Source organism: Homo sapiens, chromosome Y (genome assembly GCF_000001405.40).
Source record: "Homo sapiens chromosome Y, GRCh38.p14 Primary Assembly".
Lineage (NCBI taxonomy): Eukaryota > Metazoa > Chordata > Mammalia > Primates > Hominidae > Homo > Homo sapiens.
In genome coordinates, this window is record NC_000024.10 from 13,105,573 (window position 1) to 13,129,820 (window position 24,248).

The 24,248-nt window shown below is 40.8% G+C and overlaps 1 long non-coding RNA gene across 3 annotated transcripts, besides 10 other annotated features; it reads left to right on the top strand.

The window, feature by feature from the left end:
* Positions 1 to 5,752: 5,752 nt before the first annotated feature.
* Positions 5,753 to 20,069, top strand: LOC112268312 (uncharacterized). 3 transcript variants are annotated; one of them, XR_002958844.1, is made up of 4 exons: positions 5,753 to 5,841; positions 6,028 to 6,190; positions 12,138 to 12,274; positions 19,703 to 20,069. It is a non-coding gene; the product is annotated as an uncharacterized LOC112268312 (long non-coding RNA). The 3 variants fall into 3 exon arrangements; XR_002958842.1 differs by lacking the exon at positions 19,703 to 20,069 and having other exon boundaries at positions 12,138 to 13,382; XR_002958843.1 differs by lacking the exons at positions 5,753 to 5,841; positions 19,703 to 20,069 and adding an exon at positions 5,875 to 5,893 and having other exon boundaries at positions 12,138 to 13,382.
* Positions 5,969 to 13,350: a mobile genetic element, noted in NCBI's record as "direction; forward".
* Positions 5,969 to 16,742: a biological region, named in NCBI's record as "AZFa HERV15yq2 recombination region". NCBI's record gives its function as "recombination_partner: LOC106128902".
* Positions 7,431 to 9,993: a meiotic recombination region, noted in NCBI's record as "meiotic double-strand break mapped by DNA meiotic recombinase 1 chromatin immunoprecipitation followed by single-stranded DNA enrichment and sequencing in the germ cells of some male individuals with PRDM9 A/A, PRDM9 A/B and PRDM9 A/C genotypes". NCBI's record gives the evidence for it as "EXISTENCE:chromatin immunoprecipitation-seq evidence [ECO:0000229][PMID:25395542]".
* Positions 7,484 to 8,762: a non allelic homologous recombination region, noted in NCBI's record as "sub-region ID1' (identical sequence 1'), recombines with sub-region ID1 (identical sequence 1) within the AZFa HERV15yq1 recombination region". NCBI's record gives the evidence for it as "EXISTENCE:DNA dot blot assay evidence [ECO:0005522][PMID:1634226]" and "EXISTENCE:nucleotide sequencing assay evidence [ECO:0000219][PMID:11030762, PMID:11001932, PMID:12554687]".
* Positions 13,360 to 14,489: a mobile genetic element, noted in NCBI's record as "direction; reverse".
* Positions 14,482 to 14,889: a mobile genetic element, noted in NCBI's record as "direction; forward".
* Positions 14,879 to 16,568: a non allelic homologous recombination region, noted in NCBI's record as "sub-region ID2' (identical sequence 2'), recombines with sub-region ID2 (identical sequence 2) within the AZFa HERV15yq1 recombination region". NCBI's record gives the evidence for it as "EXISTENCE:DNA dot blot assay evidence [ECO:0005522][PMID:1634226]" and "EXISTENCE:nucleotide sequencing assay evidence [ECO:0000219][PMID:11030762, PMID:11001932, PMID:12554687]".
* Positions 14,890 to 16,254: a mobile genetic element, noted in NCBI's record as "direction; forward".
* Positions 15,315 to 16,742: a meiotic recombination region, noted in NCBI's record as "meiotic double-strand break mapped by DNA meiotic recombinase 1 chromatin immunoprecipitation followed by single-stranded DNA enrichment and sequencing in the germ cells of some male individuals with PRDM9 A/A and PRDM9 A/B genotypes". NCBI's record gives the evidence for it as "EXISTENCE:chromatin immunoprecipitation-seq evidence [ECO:0000229][PMID:25395542]".
* Positions 16,255 to 16,731: a mobile genetic element, noted in NCBI's record as "direction; forward".
* Positions 20,070 to 24,248: the final 4,179 nt, after the last annotated feature.

Sequence of the window (24,248 nt, forward strand, 5' to 3'; positions counted from 1 at the left end):
AACAAAATAGACAAATAAGATTTAATTAAAAGCTAAAAAGCTGCACAGCAAAATAATCAATAGAATGAAGAGACAGCCTATTGAATGGGACAAAATATTTGCAAACTATTCCTCTGACAGGGGACTAATATCTAGCACAAAAGAAACTGAAACATTTCAACAAGAACAAGCAGCAACAGAAAACAAATAATGACTTTAAAAAGTTGGCAAAGAACATGAATTGACTTTTCAAAAAAATCATAAAATGCTCAATGGGTATATAAAAATGTGCAACATAACTAATTATCAGGTAAATGAAAATCAAAACTAAAATGAGATATCATCTCATTTTAGTCATAAATATTAATATTAATAGAATGTGATTACTAAAAAGACAAAAAATAATAGATGCTGATGAAGATGTGCAGAAGAGGGAACTTTAATACACAGGAGGAAATATAAATTAGGATAGTCTCTATTGAAAGTGGAATGAAGGTTTTGTAAAGAACTAAAATTAGAACTGCCATTCAATGCAGCAGTTCCAAGACTGGATATCTCCATAAAGGAATGAAATTGATATATCAAAAAAGATACCTGCACTTGTAAATTTATTACAGCACTCATTATAGTAGCAAAACTATGGGATGAATCTGAGTGTTTATCAATGAATTAACGGATTTTTAAAAATTGGCATAGATACACAATAGAATAGTATTCAGCCATAGACAAGAACAAAATCACGTCTTTTTCAGCAACAAGGATAAAACTGGAGGTCATTGTTGTAGGTTAAGTGAAATAGGTCAGTCACAGAAAGACAAATATCTCATGTTCTCATTCACAAGTTATTCTTAGAGAAAGTTGTTCACATAGACATAAAGAGTAAAATGATACATTATGTAGACTCAGAAGTGTGAAGATATGAGATGAAAAGGATGATGATAAATTGGTTAATGTGTAAAATGTACATTATTTAGGCAATGGATACCCTAAAGGACTTAGAACCAACCCAAATGCCCATCAATGACAGACTGGATAAAGAAAATGTGGAATACTATGCAGCCATAAAAAAGAATGAGTTCATGACCTTTGCAGAGACATGCATGGAGCTGAAAACCATCATTCTTAGCAAACTAACACGGGAACAGAAAGGTAAACATCTTATGTTCTCACTAATAAGTGGGAGTTGAACAATGAGAACACAAGCACACAGGGAGGGGAGCATCACACACTGGGGCTTATTGGAGTATGGGGCAAAAGGGAAGGGAGAGCATTAGGACAAATGCCTAATGCATGCGGGGCTTAAAACCTAGATGATGCAGCTGGGCACGGTGGCTCACACCTGTAATCCCAGCAGTTTGGGAGGCCAAGGCAGACAGATGACCAGGTCAGGATATTGAGACCAGCCTGGCCAACATGTTGAAACCCTGTCTCTACTAAAAATACAAAAAAATTAGCTGGGCATGGTGGAGCACCCCTATAGTCCCAGCTGCTTGGGAGGCTGAGGCAGGAGAATCGCTTGAACCCGGGAGGCAGAGGTTGCAGTAAGCCGAGATCACGCCACTGCATTCCAGCCTGGGTGACAGAGCGAGACTCTGTCTCAAAACAAACAGACAAACAAAAACCTAGATGACAGGTTGATGGGTTCTGCAAACTACCATGGCACCTATGTAACAAACCTGCGTGTTCTGCACATGTATCCCAGAATTTAAAGTAAAATAAATTTTTTTAAAAGCCTCAACTTTAACATTCTGCAATCTATGCATGTAACAAAATTCCACATGTAGCCCATAAATAGTAAACAAAAATAAAACAAAATTCTACACCATTCCATTTAATTTTACTATTTGCTGGATTTCTTGAATTCTTTCCTTGTAAACAATAGACTTTTGCATTGTGAATTCATTTTCAGTGAAAATTTAACTCTAGGAAACCTGTGTGTATCTCACTGCAATATATCTTTAATTTTTTATAGTTATTCCACTCATCACATAGTTAAGAGTAAGTTTTGAATTTTTTAATTAGAAATTCAAATATTATGTAGGAAGAGTAAATAGAAAACCAAACCTTGTGATAACAAACTTAGGCAGCAACTTTTCATGGAAGAGAGATTTTTCCCATCCAAAATTGAAGTTGTAATAAAATTTCTTATCAGCTCCTTGTCTAAAGTCTTTCTTCTCTTCATTGTTATCTACTGAATATGTTTGCTAAGGACAGAACTTTTAAGGACCTAAATTATCCAGGAATTTTTGTTGCAGTTCTTCACCTTTTTTTTTCAATATCCTGATGTTGTCTATTATTAAAATATGAGCCTGCTTAGTCTTTCAGGTAACAACTCTCACTCTTTCTCTCTTTATGTAGCAGAGCCTAGTATGCAGTTAAATTATGATGTTCAATATCCTTCTTTTTTATTCACCAGAATTGCCCTCATATTATTGTGAGCCAAATCAACTGGGGAAAGGGACATTATAAAAGTTATATGCAGTATTTCTATTCTTTTTTTATAAATTAGTAGAAAAAAAAAGAAAATGAAAGCTGTAAAAAGCACTGATGGCCTTTAGTATCTTTTCTTAATAAAAAATATTTGCAAATGTCAGCAAATAAAATGTCTAATTTTATATTATTCAAGCTATTAAAGGCAGCTTTTAAAAATTGATATATAATATTTTTATATATTTATGTGGTACATATCATATTTTGTCATATGCATAGAAGGTGTAAGAATCCAGTCTCTATATCTGGGGTGTCTATCACCTCAAGGACTTGCATGTCAGAAATACCCCAAGTCCTCTCATCTAGTTATTTTGAAATATGCAGTTCTTTGTTTTTAACAAAGTTACATTACTCTGCCATTAAACATTAGAGCTTATTTCTCCTATCTTACTGTATATTTGTATCCATTAGCCAACGACCTTTTTATCCCTCCACATTTTACCCATCCTATATACAATGGAAATGTGTATATATACACACAATGATATATACATATATATAATTCAAGATCATATTTTCTTTTTTCATTCATACACCAGTAAACACTTAGGATGATTCCATATTTTGCTGTTTGAATAGTGCTGCAATAAACATGAGAGTGCATGTATCCCTTCAATATACTGAATTAGTTTACTTGGGGCATATACCCAAAGTAGGATTGTTCAATCATATGACAGTTCTATCTTTTGTTTTTTGTGATTTTTTTTTGAGAAATCACTATACTGTTTCCAATGTGGTTTGTAGTAATTTACATTTTCACCAGCAGTGTTTGAGTCCCCTTTTCTCAATATCCTTGCCAGTAATTGTTATTTTTCAACTTTTTAATAATAATCATTTTAACTGGGGTAAGATGATATCATATTTTTGTTTTGATTTTTATTTCTCTGATGATTAGTGATGTTGACAATTTGAAAAGTATACCTTTTGGCCATTTGCATGTCTTGAGACAATTCTGTTGACATACTATGCCCACTATTTTTTTGAGACAGGATCTTGCTGTATTGCTCAGGCTAGAGTGCAGTGATATTCTAGCTCACAGCAACCTCCACCTCCCAGGTCCAAGAGATTTTTGTGCCTCAGCCTCTTGAGTAGCTGGGATCACAGTCATGTGCCACTACAAACAGTTAATTTTTTTTTTTTTTTTTTGAGATGGAGTCTTGCTCTGTCGCCCAGGCTGGAGTGCAGTGGCACTATCTCACCTCACTGCAACCTCAGCCTCCTGGGTTCATGCCATTCTCCTACCTCGGCCTGCCAAGTAGCTGGGACTGTAAGCGCTTGCCACCATGCCCAGCTAATTTTTTTGTGTTTTTAGTAGAGACGGGGTTTCACCATGTTAGCCAGGATTGTCTTGATCTCTTGACCTCACGATCCACCTGCCTCAGACTCCCAAAGTGCTGGGATTACAGGCATGAGCCACCATGCCTGGCCAAGTTTTGTATTTTTAGTAGAGAAGGGGTTTTGTCATATTGGCCTGCCTGGTCTCAAACTTCTGGCCTCATGTGATCTGCCTGCCTTGGGCTCCCAAAGTGTGGGGATTACAAATGTGAGCCACTATACCTGGCATGTGTTCATTATTTAATGTAAAAAAATTTTTTTTTGAGACAGAGTCTTACTTTGTTGCCCAGGCTGGAGTGCAGTGGTGAGATCTTGGCTCACTGCAACCTCTGCCCTCCGGGTTCAAGCAATTCTTCCTGCCTCAGCCTCCTGGGTAGCTGGAATTACAGGTGACTGCTACTATGCCCAGCTAATTTTTTGTATTTTTTTTTAGTAGAGACACAGTTTCACCATGTTGACCAGGCTGGTCTCTAACTCCTGACGTTGTGATTTTCGTGCTTTGGACTCCCAAAGTGCTGGAATTACAAGCATGAGCCACCATGCCTGGCCAATATAAATCTTTTTAACTGCTGAATTGTTTGAGTTTCATATATATTCTGAATACTAGTCCCTTGTTGATGAACAGCTTACAAATATTTTCTTTCATTCAATAGATTGTTTCTTCACTCTGTTGTTTCCTTTCCTGTACAGAAGTTTTTTAGTTTAATACTATCCAATTTGTCTATTTTTGGTTTTGTTTCCCATGCTTTTTGATGTTTTAGCCATAAAATATTTGCCGAGGTCAATGTCCTGAAGTATTTTTCCTATGTTTTCTTTTAGTAGTTTTATAGTATGAGTCTTACATTTAAGTCTGTTATCTACCTTTAGTTGATTTTTGTACATGGTAAAGATAGCCATGCAGTTTTATTCTTCTTTATGTGGATATCCAGTTTTTCCAGCACCATTTATTGAAGAGGTGTTCTTTCTCCAATGCATGTTCTTGGATTCTTTGTTAAAAAACACTCTTGGCAGTAAATACACAGATCTACATTTGGGTTCTGAATTCTCTTTCATTGGTCTGTCTGTTTTTACACAATACAATTCCATTTAGGTCAATGTATCCTTGTAATACATTTTGAAGTCAGGTACTGTGATGCCGTTAGTTTTGTTTGTTTTGCTCAGAGTTGCTTTGGCTCTTTGGTCTCTATCAGTTTCATACAAATTTTAGTATTTTTTTTTCTATTTCTATTGAAAATAACATTGATATTTTGATACAGACTGCATTGAATCTGTAGATGGCTTCTAGTAGTATGGTCATTTTAATGATGTCAATTCTTTTGATCAATGACATGCAATGTTTTTCCCTTTGTGTCCTCTTCAATTTCTTTCATCAGTGTTTTATAAGTTTCTTTCTAGAGGTCATTCACTTCTAGACTTCTAGAGGCCCTGTCTTTAAGGTGGTCACCGAAGTTGGGGTTTGTTTCTTTTAGTAGCTACTGTAAATAGGATTTTCTTCTTAATGTTTTTCTCAGCTGGATCATTATTAGGATACAGAAATGCTACTGATTTCTCTCTGTTGACTTTGTATCCTGCAACTTTATTGAATTTATATATAAGATCTAAGAGTTTTTTGGTTAGGTATTTAGGTTTTAATAGTTACAAAAAAATCATCTGCATTGAAGGACAATATATTTCTATTGGAACAGGAATTAAAAGAAATTAAAGAATGCGTAAGCAAAAACTCAGTTGTATATAAGAAAACCCAATTTCCCCTGAGGAAGAGAAAGAGCTGGAGTCCTTTCAAATTAACTGCCTGTTTTTCTCTCTGTGGCTAGTGAGCCTTCTCTCTCCCTTTCCAGGCATTGTGAAGACCCTGCTTCTCTAGCTGAGCAGCTGCAAGGTCACTAGACAGATAATCTCAAGTCACAAAACATGTTTTTCCTTGAAAAGTAAGAAATGATGAATGCATGTCTTCACTGAGTAACTGTCTTTGTTTCTCGCTTTTGTAATATGATTCTTGCTGCACAGATCTCCTCCTGCCCCACAAAATGTTTAAAGGTAGCTTGACTCTTTGTTCAGGGCTCAGTCCTTTGGATGTTAATCTGACTGGGTCAGTGCACCTAAATAATTTAATAATTCCTCCTCAACCACTTGGTCTCTCTGATTCCTTAATCATCCAGCAGCATTTCTAGTGGCTCAGATGGGGATTGGAGATGACAGATTTACTGTCTCCTTTGCCTGCAGGACTAGAGCCCTGGGGCCAGGGTAGACCCAGCATCCACGGTGCACCACAGGGGAGCTTCATCTGGATGGAGACCAGCTCTCCCTGCATCCTGGTGCTCTGCCTGGCAGTGCAGTGGAACCAGGGATGGAGCTGCAGGATGATACCAGAACTTCAGGAACTGCGGTAAGGAGAAAGGGCCCAAGGCAGGAAAGCCCATCCCATAGGGACGAAGGGGAGCTTGATAACCTCCCAGGGACCGACCACTAATCCAACCCAGAGTGGCTGGGGGTGGCAGGAGTGGTCTGCCAATTTGGATGAACCTCATGTCCCCCTAACAAGTAAAAGTGGTTCACTGGTGGAGAAAATGGGCTGATAGAGCGGCAAGTCCAGTAAGGAAGAGCTTGCTGGCAGAGTGGCAAGAATGGCTTCATCCCAACTGAGAGTGTGTGGGTGTTTGTGGGTGTGTGTGGACCTACCCAGGACATGAGAGAGGATTGTTTTATCTGATGAGGAGTCCTGGGGTAGGACTGGTGTGTATGTGTGTGAATGTGGGAGCCTAACTAGACTACCCAGAACATGGGAGAGGCCTGTTTCATCTAATGAGAAGTCCTGGGGCAGAGAAAGTGTATGAAAGTGTGTGAAAGAGACAGTCTCAGGAGAGGCCAATGCAGGGAGTGATGTGTGGAGGCACAGATCGTTTAGCATGGGTTGTGTGCTCCGAGGTGAGTGTGGGGGAAATCAGACCTAGGACATTGCTTATGGCTGATAGGACCAGGTCCATGGCTGCAGCAGGCTGTGAGAGGGAAAGGCATGTTCCTGGCTAAGCAATGTCTGAAACTCCCATAATAAGACCCAGTCTGGTAGACCTGAGAGTGAAAGTGCATCACAAGGGAAGAAATGGGAGGAAAAGCATTGAAACCAACTCCTTTGGAGTGCATGATAAAGAATTTTAAAACAGGATTTAGAGGTCATTATGGGATGAAACTGTCCTTAACAGTATATCAAAAGTTAAGGACATACTGTGAGATAGATTGGCCTGCTTTTAATGTGGGGTGGTCCCCTGAAGGTACAATAGACTGGAAATTAATTGGCCATGCGTTTAAGGTGGTCGCTGGAGTTGGAGGACAACCAGAATAATCAGACCAGTTTCCCTATAAAGACTCTTGGCTCATTGTGTCACAACCTCACCCCAAGTGGCTACAGCCCTGCCTAGAGGGATACTGCAAGGTATTAGTGGCTTGGGCAGACCAACCAAAGGAAGCAGAGGAACCTAAAGCCCCTAGAGTCTCTCACAAAAAGGAATCCTCAAAGCCTCACCTGAAACCATTCTTCAGGCTCCATCTGAGGAAAGGGAATGTCCACCCCCTATATGTGCCCGTCTACCTGTCTTTGGCCAGAATAAGGCAGGAGGCAGAGTCAGGAGCATCCACAGAGTCAGGCTGAGAGGAAAGTGAGGCCCAGTCTCCCCTCACCCCAGAGGAACAAAAGCCTCCCTTAGAAAAAAACCAGGAAGATGGACAGAGCAAGGCAGCTGGGTGCCTCCGCTCAGGCTGACCACAGGCTTTGCAGATGCCACTTCGAGAGAACAGGACACAAGTTTATGATGACCAAGGGCAGATACAAGGAGGCTCTAGGCTTTATGTTTATCAGCCTTTCTCCACTACTGATCTCTTAAATTGGAAACAGCATGCCCCCTTGTATGCAGAAAAGCCTCAGGCTGTCATTGATTTGGTGAATTCTATTATTATAACACAAAACCCAACCTGGCCAGATTGTCAACTACTTTTGCTAACTTTAATACAGAGGAGCATAGGAGAGTTAATCAGGCAGCTCTCAGCTGGTTAGAAGGGGAAGCCCCAGAGGCCACCCGTAACCCATGCCAGTTCTCCGTGGAGCGATACCCAAATGAGGACCCTAACTGGGACCCAAATGAGGCTGGGGACATGGAACAGCTGCATTATATAGAAGGGCACTCCTGAACAGGATAAAAGCAGGAGGAAGGAAGGCATTGAATATCCATAACATATCAGAAGTGGGCCAAAAGCCTGATGAAAGCCGCAGTGCATTCTATGAAAGGCTTTGTGAGGCATAGAGGCTGTACACTCCAATTATTCCAGAGGCTCCTGAAAACCAAAATATGATAAATATGACCTTTGTCAGGCAAGCTCAGGGAGACATAATATGAAAGCTTCAGAAGTTGGAAGGCTTTTCAGGGAAAAATATTAGTAAACTCCTGGAAATAGCAAACAAAGTATTAAAAAACTGGGAAGAAGAGGCAGAGAAAAAGGAAGAAAGAAAAACGAGAAATAGAAACAAAGAGACAGCTCAATTTCTGCTGCACTAGCAGAAAGTAACCCTGGACTTGTTAGAGGGTGAGGCCGAGGCAGAGGCCAAGGAACAGGGCAGACAAGACCCAGAGATGAAAGCCAGTCCCAGTTGGACAGGAATCAATGTGAAAGGTGCAGGCAAATGGGCCACTGGAAAGATGAGTGCCCTGAAAAGGAAAAGGATGATGATGGTCAGTGGTCTAACACCCAAGTGCGGTGTTAGGTTGCTAGCAGTGGTACTTCCAAGGCAGATCCCGATCTGATCGGCTTGGCAGGGGCTGAGAATTTAGAGGACTCAGACAGACCAGGCTCCATCCTTTTAGGCCTTGTGGAGCCTATGGTCTCTATGGAAGTAGGGGGCCGATTAATGAATGGATTTTTTGGTCAATACTGGTGCTGATTTCTCTGTGGTAACTCACCCAATTAGCGCCCCCCTCAAAGAACTGTGCTACTATCGTAGGGGCCACAGAGGCCAAAGAAAAGAGACCTTTTCGCAATTCCAGGAGATACATTACTGGGGGAAAAGAAGTGCAGCATGAGTTTCTATATATGCCAAGTTGTCCAGTGCCCTTGTTAGGGAGAGACTTACTCCAGAAACTGCAGGCACAAATTTCCTTTACACCTGAAGGGAATACGACACCGGAATTTGGAAAGTCTAAGGCAATGGTATTGATTCTAACTGTCCCAGAGGCTGAGGAATGGCAGCTCTCTGAACTGTGTGCCAGAAAGATACCGGAGCTGGACCTACACAGTATGTAGGGAATGCTTTTCAAGGTTCCAGGTGTATGGGCTGAGGACAATCCTCCTGGACTTGCTGTAAACAGACACCCAGTGGTAATAGAGCTTAACACTCATGCTGCCCTGGTATGAGTCTGTCAATACCCACTACCCAAAGAGGTAATTGAAGGCATAACACAACATCTAAATCGGCTCTATGAACAAGGGATTACAGTAAAATGCAAGTCCTCTTGGAATACTCCTCTGCAGCCTGTGCACAAGCCAAATGGTGAATACAGGCCAGTGCAGGACTTCTGGTGGGCAAAGAAGGCTACTGTCACTATCTATGCCATAGTACCCAACCCATACACCATGTTAGGACAGATTCCTGCTGAGGCCATGTGGTTCATGTGTCTAGACTTAAAGGATGTTTTCTTTGCTTGAGACTTGCTCCCCAAAGTCAGCCTATATTTGCCTTCCAGTGGGGGCAATTGTAATATACCTGGACAAGACTGCCACAAGGATTTAAGAATTCTCCCATTATCTTTGAGGACGCTTTGGCTACCAACCTTGAAGCTTTTGCACCATTTAGTGACAATTCTGTGGTATTACAATACATTCATGATTTGCTATTCGCTGCCCCCAGGAGGGAGGAATATCTCCGAGGAATAGAGAGGCTTCTTCACCTGCTGGGTGAAGCTGGTTACAGTGTCCAAGGACAAGGCAAAATTCTGTTTTCTGGAGGTTGGATATCTAGGATTCATGGTATCCCAAAGCCTGCACAGGCTTGGAAGTGCATGCAAGGAGGCTTTATGTGCATTGCCCACCTCAGTTACAAGGCAGCAGGTCAGGGAATTTCTGGGTGCAGTGGGATTGTGCCGAATCTGGATTCCAAACTTCTCCCTTATAGCAAGGCCCTTATTTGAGGCTAGCAAAGGAAAGGAAAGAGAGCCCCTCCTATGGGAAAAAGAAGAGGAAAAGGCCTTCAAGGATATAAAGGAAGCTCTCATCCAGGCCCCAGCACTAGGGTTGCCAGATGTTAAAAAACCCTTCTTTTTGTAGGTGGATGAATGAAAGAGAATGGTATTTGGAGTCTTAACTCAGTTGTTAGGCTCTTGGCATCAGCCAGTAGCATACTTTTATCCAAGAGACTGGACTTGGTGGCCTTAGGTTGGCCCCATTGCCTCAGGGCACTGGCAGCTACCGCGATCCTTATAGAAGATGCCAACAAGCTAGCCCTAGGTCAGAAGATAATATTCTGGGTGCCACACACTGTAGTCACCTTAATGGAGCAAAGAGGACGCCATTGGCTCTCCCACTCTAGAATGCTAAAGTATCAAGGGCTTCTGTGTGAGAATCTGTGGGTAACACTACAGACTAAATACCTTGAACCCAGCTACCCTGCTGCCTGTGGAGGAACCTGATTGGAAGCATGGTGGGTTGCCTCAATGCTGGCAGGACCTTCCCCACTGTTGTATAAATATGGTGGATGAAGTGTTCTTGAGCTGGGAAGATCTCAGAGATACCCCCTTGGAAAGCCCAGATGTTGAATACTTCACTGATGGTAGCAGTTTCATAACAGATGGGGTGTGATATGCAGGGTATGCAGTAGTAACACAACACTCAGTAGTTGAGGCTCAAGCCTTACCTTCTGGGACTTCTGCTCCGAAGGCTGAATTAATAGCATTAACCAGAGCACTGTTATTGGCGAAGAGGAAGAAAGTAAATATATATACTGACTCAAGATATGCTTTTGCAACCCTGCATGCCCATGGGGCAATATAAAAAGACAGAGGACTATTGACTACTGAAGGAAAAGATATAAAAAATAAAGAAGAAATTTGGCAATTATTAGAAGACATATTGGCTCCAGAGAATGTGGCTGTCATTCATTGCAAAGAACACCAAACCGGGAAAAGCTATGAGGCACAGGGCAACAGAAAGGCAGACCGAGGGGCTCAGCAGGCAGCAATGAGCAAGGTTTTACCTGAAGAAAGAACTCCAGCAATGCCTCTCCTTATAGAGCCCCCTTTACTTGAGGTACCCAATTACTCTTTAAGTGAACAAGCTTGTTTTCATCAGGAAACAGGAAATATATATTAAAGATAGTTGGTGGCTGTTCTCTGACAGGAGGCTAGCCATCCCAGAAACAGTAGCCCCACGGTTTGTGAAGCAGATCCATCAAGGAACACACATTGGAAGGACAGCCCTACAGACTTTGATAGGTCAGCATTTCTATGTGCCATGGCTGTCTGCCATCACCCGTGCTGTTTGTGAACAATGTCTATCCTGTGTACGGAATAATCCAAAATAAGGACATACTCAACCCCAGGAATACAGGAAATGGGAGCTGTGCCTTGTGAGAACCTGCCTGTAGACTTTACTGAATTACCTCAAGCAGGAGGTTACTGGTATATGCTAGTGTTTGTTTGCACCTTCTCGGGGTGGGTTGAGGCCTTACCCACCAGGACTGAAAAGGCATGAGAGGTGACAAAGGTGCTACTGAAAGACATCATATTAAGATTTGGGTTGCCCTTAACCTTAGGATCAGACAATGGTCCTGCATTTGTGGCAGAAGTAGTACAACAGCTGACTCAGCTTTTAAAGACCAAATGGAAACTGGACACAGCCTATTGACCACAGAGTTCAGGGAAGATAGAACAGATGAACTGGACACTCAAACAGCTACTAAAAAAGTTTTGCCAGGAAACTCACTTACAATGGGATCAGGTCTTGCCCATGGTCCTCCTCCAGGTCAGGTGGACACCTACAAAACAAACTACCTAGTTTTGTAGTATTTGTCCCATGAAATATTGTTTGGAAGGGCACCCCCAATCATTAATCAAATTAGAGGGGATTTAAAGGAGTTAGGAGAGTTAACCCTTAAGAGACAGATGCAGGCTTTAGGAGTGGCAATGCAGGATGTGCAAAGCTGGGGAAGAGAAAGGATACCTATAAGTCTAACAGACCAAGTGCATCCACATAAGCCGGGGGACTCTGTGTTAAAAGGTGGAATCCAACAACCTTGGGGCCCTTAAGGGATGGGCCCCATGTTGTAATCATGTCTACTCCCACTGCTCTTAAAGTTGCAGGTGTCACACCTTGGATTCACCATAGCTGGCTGAAAGCAGCGGCAGCAGTGACTCCGATGACAACCAGTGGATTAGCCAACAAGACCCAGATCACCCCACCTGAATGGTCCTACAATGAAATCCAACCACTGGTAAGAAGGATGACTGCCCTACTCTGCCCACACCAGAGCTTGGTCAGTCTACACATGGCTGAAGCTTGAGGATCCTGCAAGCTCTGCTCTAGTCACATACCAGAAGCTGACTAGTCAATGCACAGCTGAAGCTAAGAGGACAATCTCAGGATGAATAAATGTGGATATAATTCATAACCCTAGTTATAATTCTGTTAATACTGATTGTTCTATTGTTATGTTACCACTGCAAATGCTGCTAATGTCTATGCCCAGAGGGAGTTTGCCATGCCCATGTGTAGTGTAAGCATGTTTCTATTACATACACTGATGTTACCATTTCTGCCTCTACTAAAAGGGGAGGAATCTCTAGAAAGATGCCCACACTGTGTACATACTACCTGGGTAAGGAATACCACAGTTAAAACTCTACTGTACCATACCTACAGTACAGGAACCAAGTTAGGAACCTGCGCATACAACCAGAACACCTCTTCAGTCTGTGACCCAGGAAATAATCAGCTATATGCATGTTATGACCTGAAGTGCTTACTGTATGAATTCTGGTTTGAGGTATATATTAAATCAGAGAGAGAAAAAGAAAAAGAGCTTACAACTTGAACCAAAGAAGCCCCTACCTCTTATAAAGGGCATTTTTCCTTGTACTTTGATGCCTGACATGCCACATATGTTCATAATCCTAAAAAACCAAAAGCAGTCTGCAATGGTTTAACACAAGAGAGGCTTAGCAGGAGCAGCCCTAAACATCTGTACTGAGAACCACAAATTGGATGCCCAGACTGTAACATTCCTTGGTCTATGCTACCACAGCTCCAACATTTATATTCAGGAAGGACTGCTCTGCTAAGTAGTATGTGAACCAAACCAAATTGTAAGACAAGGACATGCAATCCTTTAAATTTTACTACTTAAAGCCAGAGCTACCTTTTTGGTCTGCAGGACAGACAGCACTATTACGAGTTGATGGACAAGGAGCAGGACTTGGAGCTCCAGTACTAATTGTCAAAAAGAATAGAAGGACTCAAGTGTGTCCAACCCTGCAATTCCGGGTCCATAAGTCATTCTGTAAGCATTTTTTTTCCTTTTTTTTTTTTTATTATTACACTTTAAGTTTTAGAGTACATGTGCACAACGTGCAGGTTTGTTACATATGTATACATGTGCCATGTTGCTGTGCTGCACCCATTAACTCGTCGTTTAGCAGTAGGTATATCTCCTAATGCTATCCCTCCCCCCTCCCCCCTTCCCCCACCCCACAACAGTCCCTGGTGTGTGATGTTCCCCTTCCTGTGTCCATCTGTTCTCTTTGTTCAATTCCCACCTATGAGTGAGAGCATGCAGTGTTTGGTTTTTTGTCCTTGCAATAGACTGCTGAGAATGATGGTTTCCAGCTTCATCCATATCCCTACAAAGGACATGAACTCATCCTTTTTTATGGCTGCATAGTATTCCATGGTGTATATTTGCCACATTTTCTTAATCCAGTCTATCATTGTTGGACATTTGGGTTGGTTCCAAGTCTTTGCTATTGTGAATAGTGCTGCAATAAACATTCGTGTGCACATCTCTTTATAGCAGCATGATTTATAATCCTTTCGGTATATACCCAGTAATGGGATGGCTGGGTCAAATGGTATTTCCAGTTCTAGATCCCTGAGGACTCGCCACACTGACTTCCACAATGGTTGAACTAGTTTACAGTCCCACCAACAGTGTAAAAGTGTTCCTATTTCTCCACATCCTCTCCAGCACCTGTTGTTTCCGACATTTTATTGTTCGCGATTCTAACTGGTGTGAGATGGTATCTCATTGTGGTTTTGATTTGCATTTCTCTGATGGCCAGTGATGGTGAGCATTTTTTCATGTGTGTTTTGGCTGCATAAATGTCTTCTTTTGAGAAGTGTTTGTTCATATCCTTCACCCACTTTTTGTTGGAGTTGTTTGTTTTTTCTTGTAAATTTGTTTGAGTTCATTGTAGATTCTGGATATTAGCCCTTTGTCAGATAAGTAGGTTGCAAAAATTTTCTCCCATTCTGTAAGTTGCCTGTTCACTCTGATGGTGGCTTCTTTTGCTGTGCAGAAGCTCTTTAGTTTAATTAGATCTCATTTGTCAATTTTGGCTTTTGTTGCCATTGCTTTTGGTGTTTTTGACATGAAGTCCTTGCCCATGCCTATGTCCTGAATGGTATTGCCTAGGTTTTCTTCTAGAATTTCTTCACAGAATTGGAAAAAACTACTTTAAAGTTCATATGGGAGCAAAAAAGAGCCCACATTGCCAAGTCAATCCTAAGCCAAAAGAACAAAGCTGGAGGCATCACGCTACCTGACTTCAAACTATACTACAAGGCTACAGTAACAAAAACAGCATGGTACTGGTACCAACACAGAGATATAGACCAATGGAACAGAGCAGAGCCCTCAAAAATAATGCCGCATATCTACAACTATCTGATCTTTGACAAACCTGACAAAAACAAGCATTCCCTATTTAATAAATGGTGCTGGGAAAACTGGCTAGCCATATGTAGAAAGCTGAAACTGGATCCCTTCCTTACACCTTATACAAAAATTAATTTGAGATGGATTAAAGACTTACATGTTAGATCTGTAAGCATTTTGATCAGTCAGTGCCTGAGCTTCCCCTATCAACCAAAAACTTATTTGCTCAACTAGCTGAAAACATAGCTGGCAGCTTAGGAATTTCCTCATGCTATGTAAGTGAAGGAACTCATATGGGGGACCAGCGGCAATGGGAGGCAAAGGAATTAATGCCACAACATAAATTCACTTTGCCTAATCCTGCCAGTGAACCAACAGCCTCAGCTAGTGTTTGGTTGTTAAAAACCTCCATAATTGGAAAGTACTGTATCGCCTGTTGGGGAAAGGCTTTCACAGAGGCAATGGGAAAAACAATAAGCCTAGGGCAACAGTATTATGATGAGAGTAAAAACAAAACTCTACGGAGAAACTCCCAGAACGACTCCTAGTTACCAGATCCAAATGCTTTCTCTTGATTCTCTACCCTAAGCCACTCTTGGCATCAGCTAAAGACTCCAAATGCTTGGAAAGCACCCTCTGGCCTATATTGGGTCTGTGGAGCATGGGCATATCGGCAACTGCTGGCTAAATGGACAGGGGCATGTGTGTTAGAAACAATCAAGCCATCCCTCTTTTTAATTCCTCTAAAGCAAGGGGAACTCTTAGGGTATCCAGTTTATGATGAAAATAAAAGAACTAGAAAAAGCATAATGACAAAAATAGACACAAATGTCAAAAAGGATGCAGACATAGGAGACTGGAAGGATAATGAATGGCCTCCTGAAAGAATCATTAAATAGTATGGGCCCGCTATCTGAGCGCAAGTTGGGTCATGGGAATACCGCACCCCAATCTATATGCTCAACCGCATCATAAGGTTGCAGGCAGTCCTTGAAATAATAACCAATGAAATGTCAAGGAAACTAGATTTATTGATAACACAAGCAACACAAATGAGAAATGCTACATATCAGAATAGATTGGCTTTAGATTACCTCTTAGCCTCAGAAGGAGGAGTATGTGGAAAATTTAATTTAACCAGTTGTTGCCTAGAAATGGATGATAATGGCCAAGCTCTAATGGAAACCACAGCTAGAATGTCCAAGTTGGCCCATGTTCCAGTTCAGACTTGGTCTGGATGGTCCCTGGATTCCTTGTTTGGAGGATGGTTCTCAATGTTTGGGGGATTCAAAACCCTCATTGGTGGGTTTTTGTTTATTCTTGGCATCTGCCTCATCCTCCCTTGCCTTTTACCCCTGTATATTAGGAGTATTTGTCAACTATAGAGGCAGTAGTAACCCGAAACACTACCATGCTATTGACGGCATTAACCAAATATCAGCCACTGCCAATAAAAGAAACAGCTCAGCTCCGGGAAGAGATGGCAAATAGTGGTGCTTTCTATTAACATCTTTGTTTTAAAAAGCACCAAATGGGGGAAATGGAAGAGGAATTGAAAGAAATTAAAGAACGTGTAAGCAAAAACTCAGTCGTATATAAGAAAACCCAGTTCCCCCTGAGGAAGAGAAAGAGCTGGAGTCCTTTAAAATTAACTGCCTGTTTTTCTGTGGCTAGTGAGCCTTATCTCTCCCTTTCCCAGGTATTGTGAAGACCCTGTTTCTCTAGCTGTGCAGCTGCAAGGTCACTAGGCAGATAATCTCAAGTCGTAAAACATGTTGTTTCTTGAAAAGTAAGAACTGATGTAATGCATATCTCAATTGAATAACTGTCTTTGTTTCTCTCTTCTGTAATATGCTTCACCCTGCACAGATCTCCTCCAACCCCACAAAATGCCTAAAAGGTAGCTTGACTCTGTTCACAGCTCAGTTCTTTGGGTGTTAATCTGACTGGGTCGGTGCACCTAAATAATTAAATAATTCCTCCTCAACCCCTAGGTCTCTCTGATTCCTTAATTATCCTGCTGCATTTCCTCATCCAACATGGACATATTTCATTTCTATCTCTTGCCTGGTTGTTTTGATTAGGAGAACCAGTTCTGTGTTGAATAGGAGTGGTGAAAGTCAGCATTTTGTCTTGCTTCATTTCTTAAAAGAGAATTTCACTGTTCCCCATTCATTATACTGTTAGCAGGTTTATCTTTATGGTGTTTATTACATTTAGATATGACACATCCATGCCTAGTTTACTGAGTTTTATTATAAAGGCTGTTAAATTTATCAACTGCTTCTTATTGTACCTATTCAGATGATCATATAGGTCCATTCCTCTTTCTTTTTATGTTAAGTACCATATTATTAATTTGTATATGTTATACAATTCTTACATCTTTAGAGTAAATCCCACTTGATAGTGATGTATTATCTTTCTGGAGTGCAGTTGGAGTCAGTTACAAGTATTTTGTTGAGGAGTTTTGCATTTATGTTCCTCAGGGATATTGCCTATAGATGATTTTTTATTTTTTGTTGTCTTTTGTTGGTATTTGATGTTAGGATAATCATGGCCTCATAGAATGAGTTAGGAAGGGAGAATTTGCTCCCTTTCAATTATTAAAAATGGTTTGAGGAGAGTTCTTGTTACTTCTTCTTTGAATGTTTGGTAGCATGCAGTAGTGAAGCCAGGCCTGTCCTAGACTCTTTTTTGTTGGAATACTTTTATTCATGATTCAAAATCATTTGTTGTTATTTGTCTGTTTAGGTTTTCTATTTCTTCATAATTCAATCTTAGTAGATTGCATGAGTCTAGGAATTCATCTATTTCTTCCAGGTTTTCTAGTTTCTTAGTATGTGGTTGTCCATAAAAGTCTCTGATAATCTTTTGTATGTCTGCAGTGTCAGTTATAATGTTTGTTTGTTTTCATTTCTGATTTTGTTTTGATCTTCTGTCTTTTGTTGTTGTTAGTCTGGCTGGCAGTTTAGGAGAAATGGGGTTTTACCATGTTGGCCAGGCTGGTCTCAAACTCCTGATCTCAGGAGATCCTCTCGCCTCAGCATCCCCAAATGCTGGGATTACAGGTGGGAACCACCATGCCCAGTCCCTTTTTCTTTATTTTTCTTTTTTTTTTTTTAGATGGATTCTTGCTCTGCCACCCAGGCCGGAATGCAGTTGTGCAATCTTGGCTCACTGCAACCTCTGCCTCCCAGGTTCAAATGATTCCCCTGCCTCAGCCTCTCGAGTAGCTGGCATTACAGGCATGCACCACCACACCCAGCTAATTTTTTGTATTTTTTTTTTTTTCAGTAGAGATGGGGTTTCACCATGTTGGCCAGGCTGGTCTTGAACTCCTGACCTCAGGTGATCCACCTGCCTTGGCCTCCCAAAGTGTTGGGATTACAGTCATGAGCCACTGAACTCAGCCTCTTTTTCTTTATTTTTTAAAAATCAATTTCTTATTTAAATGAAACATTGTGTTATTCCTTTAGTCTCTATTTTGTTTAATTCTGCTCGATTTTCATGAATTATTTTCTTCTACCAATTTTGAGTTTGATTTCTTATTGCTTTTCTAGTGCTACTGGTGCAGTGTTATATAGATTATTTGAAGTCTCTCAAGTGTTTTGATATGAGTTTATTACTATAAACCTCCCTGTTAGCACTCTTTTTGCTATATACCTTAGGTTTGATTGTTTAGTTTAGATATTTTTGTATTTCAAGGAATTTTAAAGTTTCATCCATAATTTCTTCCTTGACCCAAGGTTCACTCCAGAGCATCTTGTTTAATATTTAAGTATTTGTACAGTTTCTAATATTTGTTTTTAAGTTTATTTCTAGTTTTATTCCATAGTAGTCTGAGAAGAAATTTGATAGTTTTGGTTTTTAAAAATCTGTTGAACTTTTTTTTTTTTGAGATGGAGTCTCACTCTGTTGCCAGGCTGGAGTGCAGTGGCACGATCTCGGCTCACTGCAACCTCCGCCTCCCAGGTTCAAGCGATTCTCTTGCCTCAGCCTCCCAAGTAGCTGGGACTACAGGCACATGCCACCATGCCCAGCTAATTTTTGTATTTTTAGTAGAGACAGGGTTTCACTGCATTTGCCAGGGTTGTCTCAATCTCTTGACCTTGTGATCCATCCACCTTGGCCTCCCAAAGTGCTGTGATACAGATGTGAGCCATGCCCAACCTTGTTGAATCATTTTTTGTGCCCTGGTAGATGGTCTATCCTGGCAAATAGTCCATGTGCTGATTAGAAGAACGTATATTCTGTGCCTGCTGGATGAAGTGTTTCGTAGGCATCTGTTAGGTCCATTTTGTAATGCATAGGAATTTTTTTTTTTTATGGAGTCTTTCTCAGTCACCCAGGATGGAGTGCAATGGCATGGTCTCTGCTCACTGCAATCTCTGCATCTCGGGTTCAAGTGATTCTCCTCCCTCAGCCTCCCAAGTAGCTGGGATTATGGTTAAGTAAAGCTCAGTTTAAATCCAATGTATCTTTGTTAATATTCTATCATCTAGATTATCTATCTAATGATGAGAGTGAGGGGTTGAAGTCTTCAATTACTATTGTATATGAGTCTCTCTTTTCCTTTAATAGTATTCACTTTATATTTCTGGCAGTTATAATGTTGGTCGCATATATATTTAGAATTGGCATATCCTCTTGCTGAATTGATCCCTTTATCATTATATAAAGACCTTATTGGACTCTTTTTACTTTTTTGAACGCATTTCTTTTATGTAAATATAGCTACTTTTATAGTAGCTACATTTACAATTGGTTAATAATACTTTTTGGCACCCTGCCACCATACCTCAGGGCTGGTTATTCTTGATTTCTGTTTGCCTGGAATATTTTTTTCCATCCATTTACTTTTACTCTGTATTTGTCCTAATGCATGATATGAGTTCTTGCAGGCACAGTGTAGTTCAGCCATTCATGAAAATCCATTTAGCCAGTATATATATTTCAAGTGGACAATTTAATCTATTTACATTCAAGGTTATTTGCTGAGATCAGCTCGATCATGGAGACCCCATCCCAGCCGCACTAGAGGAATTGAAGACACAGACACAGAAATAGAAGAATCAGGAGGCTAACAGCCTTCAGAGCTGAGAGCCACAAACGGAGTTTGACCCATATATTTATTGACAGCAAGACAATGGTAAGCATTGTTTCTACAGGTTATAGATTAGGTAAAAGCATTTCTTATGGGAAACAAAGCATTCTTAGCAAAGAGGAGAGAAACAGGCTCTGGCTGATTATCTGCAGCAAAAACATGTTAAGGCATAGGCCACTCCTGCTATTGTTTGAGGTTTGAGCAGTTTTCCATTCCAGGTGGGCCAAGTGTTCCTTGCCCTACTCCAGTTAGCCAGCAACTTCTAGCAGTGTGTGTTATAGCATCATGAGCATCTTGAACCTGGGAGGTGGAGGTTGCAGTGAGCCGAGATCGTGCCACTGCACTCCATGATGCTATAACATGTAGTCACATTGCTGCAGAAATCCTGTTTATGGCCAATTTCTTTAAGGCCCATTTATGACAAGCTTATGGCCTGTTCCCAGCAGTTATTAATATCTGAGGGCTAATTTCTATAATTTTATGAATTGAATTCTGGTGGTTTTGTTTAGCCCTTTGCTTTTCTTTCTCTTTGTTTATCATTGCAGTTTGGTGATTTTCTGTAGTAGTTACATTTGTAGTCATTCTCTTCATTATTTGTGTGTTTGCATTACCAGTGGGTTTTATAGTAGTGCGTGATTTCATCATGATAGACACTGTTGTTTCACTTCTAGATATATAATTCCCTTAAGCCTTTCTTATAGGGCAATTGGTGATAAATTTTTTCAGCTCTTGCTTATCTGGGAAATAATTTATTTCTCCTTCATTTATGAAGGATACCTTTACTGAACATATTATCCTTGAGTAGCAGTTTTTTTCTTTTAGCACTTTAAATATATCATCACATTCTCTCCTGGCCTGTAAAGTATCTACTGAAAAAAAATTCTTAGTCTGATGAGGATTTCTAAGTGGCCAGAAACTTTTCTTCTGCTGTTTCTAGAATTCTCTTTATTTTTAAATGTTGACAGTTTGAATACAATGTACCATGGAGAATACTTTTTGAACTGTGTGCACTTGGGGATCTCTTTCTGTATCTGGACATTTAAATTGCATGCTAGGCTAGAAAATTTTCCCCTAGTCTTTCATCATATAGGTTCCCTAACCATCCTCCCCCGTGTGTGCTGTTGCTGGAGAGGTGTTGTGATTACTTGGAGGAGAAGCAGCATTCTGGCTTTTGGAATTTTCAGCATTGTTGCACTGGTTTTTCCTCATCTTTGTGGATTTATGTACCTTTGACCAATGAGGCTGATGACCTTTGGATGGGGTTTTTGTCAGGGGGGAGTCTTTTTGTTGATGTTGTTGCTTTCTGTGTGTTAGTTTTTCTTCTAACACGCCCCTGTTTTGCAGGTTTGTTTCAGTATGCTGGGCGTCCACTCTAAACCCTGTTCTTCTATCACCAGTGGAAGATGCAGAACAGCAAAGACTGCTGCCTGTTCCTTTTTCAGGAAGCTTCATCCCAGGGGGGCACTGATTTGATACCACTGGGAGCTCTCCTGTATGAGGTACCTGTTGACCCCTGTTACATGGTCTCTCCCAGTCAGGAGGCATGGGGTTAGGAGCCCGCTTAAGGAGGCAGTCTGTCCCTTAGCAGAGCTAATGCTCTGTGCTGGGAGAAACCCCCTTATCAGCATCAGCCACTCTCTTCAGAGCTGGAAGGTGGGAGAGATTAAGTCTTCCAAACCTGAGACTGCTGCTGCCCCTCCCCTGACATGCTCTGTCCCAAGGATCTGAGAGTCTTCTCTGTAAGCCCCTGACTGGAGCTGCTGGATTTTCTGCAGAGATAGGCTGCCCAGTGAGGAGAAATCTAGAGAACCAGTCTGGCCGCAGCCACTTAGCTGCACTGTGGTGAATTCTGCCCACTTCCCTTAGCACTGTTACGGGAAAACCGCCTACTAAAGCCACAGTAATGGAGGTCACCTCTCCCCCCACCAAACTCAATCATCCCAGGCAGACTCCAGACTGCTGAGCTGGCAGTGAGAATTTCAAGCCAGGGTCCTGGTAGTGTAGGCTGACAAGGGAATCTCCTGATACGCAGATTGCAAAAACCCATGGGAAAAGCATAGTAGCCCAGGTGGGTAGCATAGTCCCTTACCACTTCCCTTGGCTGGGGGAGGGAGGTCCCCAGCTCCTTGCACTTCCCAGGTGAAGCACACCACACCCTGCTTCTTCTTGCTGTCTGTGCTGTACCCACTGCCTAGCCAGTCCCAGTGAGATGAACAGGGTACCTCAGCTGGAAATGTAGAAGTCACCTGCCTTCTGCATTGCTCTCACTGGGAGCTACAGACTGGGGCTGTTTCTATTCAGCCAACTTGAACCCTCCCCTTCATTGTGGTTTCTGATTTGCATTTCTCTAGTGATCAGTGATGTTGAGGGTTTTTTTCATATATTTGTTGGCTACATGTATGCCTTCTTTTGAAAAGTGTCTGTTCATGTCTTTTGCTCAATTGTTAATAGGATTACTTTTCCTTACACATATTTTGAGTTCCTTATAGACACTGGATATGGAAATTAGGCCTTTGTCAGATGCAGAGACTGCAAAAATTTTCTCCCATTCTATGGTTGTCTGTTTACTCTGTTGGTAGTTTATTTTGCTTTGCAGAAGCTCTTAAGTTTAATTAGATCCCACTTGTCAACTTTTGCTTTGGTTTTTTCATTTTCTGAAGGAGAAAAAAACTCAGTTTGCAGGTGGGAAAGTTATGTGATCCATGTCAAACTGAATGTGGGACAGGCACCCACTGAGAAAAAACACCTGTTATGGAAAAGTCCAAGGCAATAGAGCATATCATGGATATAACAATAAAAATATGTACTTTTCCACTTATGACTACAAGCATTAGTCATTAGGTGATACATTTCACTTTATTCTTAAACTAGTGGTAATATAATTGTTAATCAAGCCACTAAAATGGGTTTTTATATTAACTTCCAAGACAAAAAGTTTTTTCTTAGTCAGAATTCCACTTCTCCAGCCAATATAAAACTCCTTGGCTAGTGAGAAAATTCTATTCATTTTACCTATTAAAAGCATAAAAATTTAGTCCCAAATTTTGTCTTTCCATGTGCACTCAAGAAACAATCTCCCTCTTCACCATCCCTTGTCTCCCCACCTTGCAAAGTCTGCAGACTCTGACTCTATTTCACTGTCACAACTACTTATTTTTTTCCACATTCCCCAAATCCGTATTTCCTCTTCAGGCTTCTTTTCAGTGTGTGGTCACTTCAGGTTGCTAGTTCAAATTAGTATAGACTGTGTACCTTAAACAGCAGAAATTTTCTCATAGTTCTGGAGGCTGAAGTCTAAGATCAAAAGTGCCAGCAGACCCAATGTCCGGATATCAAATGACCAGGTGTCCAGAACCAAATGGTGAATGCCCATTTCTCAGTTTGCAGACAGCCCTCTTTTTACTGTATTCCTCTATGGCAGAGAAGACAAAAAAAAAAAAAAAGTAAGAAAGAAGAAGCTCTCAAATCTTTTATAATGGCACTAGTGTCATTCAGGAGGGATCTGTCTTTATTACCTAGTTAAATTCCCGAAGACCCCAGCTCCTAATTCCATTACATTGTGGTTTAGGATCTCAACATCTAAATTTGGGGAAACTAAAACATTTAGTGCATAGTACAAGATAAAGGCAGGATGGGGGATTTCTGCAAGAAGAGATGGGGCTTGGGAACAGTAAAACTTCCTCAGTGGACAAGTCTGTTTTACAACAAGAAAAGCTGGAAGAACTCCTGTTTTCAACCAAGAGACAAAAGTTTTTAGCTGCTGCTTCTCATCTCTCTGTTTCCCCTTCTCACCATAATATTTCCGTCTCATCTTATTTCTGAGAGTTGTCCAGTGACATAAATAATAACGGAAGGGAAAACCAACCTTTCTTTTCCACAATAATATCCTTTCTATTTAAACTCTTCAGCGTAGCCTCTTTAACCCTCTGCATTTCCCATCATATGGGATCCAAATCAGTTTCTTCCTCCTTAGTCCTGTGTTCCCCCATTTCCTAATAAGACAATTTCAAGAAATCTTTGGAATAACTTATGAATTGAAGAAACACAGGTATTTCTAGGCATGGTCAGTGCTCCAACACTTCTGTATGAAAAAAGAGCTGGTCAATACCTAAAGAGAAATCATGTTAAATACAGAGAGATTACAAGGGCATTTCTAATATATGTCTCTCTGTAAATAAGATCTAGCACTATTACAGCAGCAATAAAATTTTGAAGTAAACTGCTCTTACAAAATAAAGCAGAAACCAAAAACTGAAGTTAGCACTCCCTGAAGGCAATCCCTCCCCCAAAATACTAAAATGCTTGGCAAAAACTCTTAGAATCAGCCTTATCAGAACTCCAAAAATAGTCAAAAGTGTACCAAAACCAAAAACCTTAACAAAACCAAACCAAAACAAACCAAAAATCAAAAATCTTAGTAAATAAAAA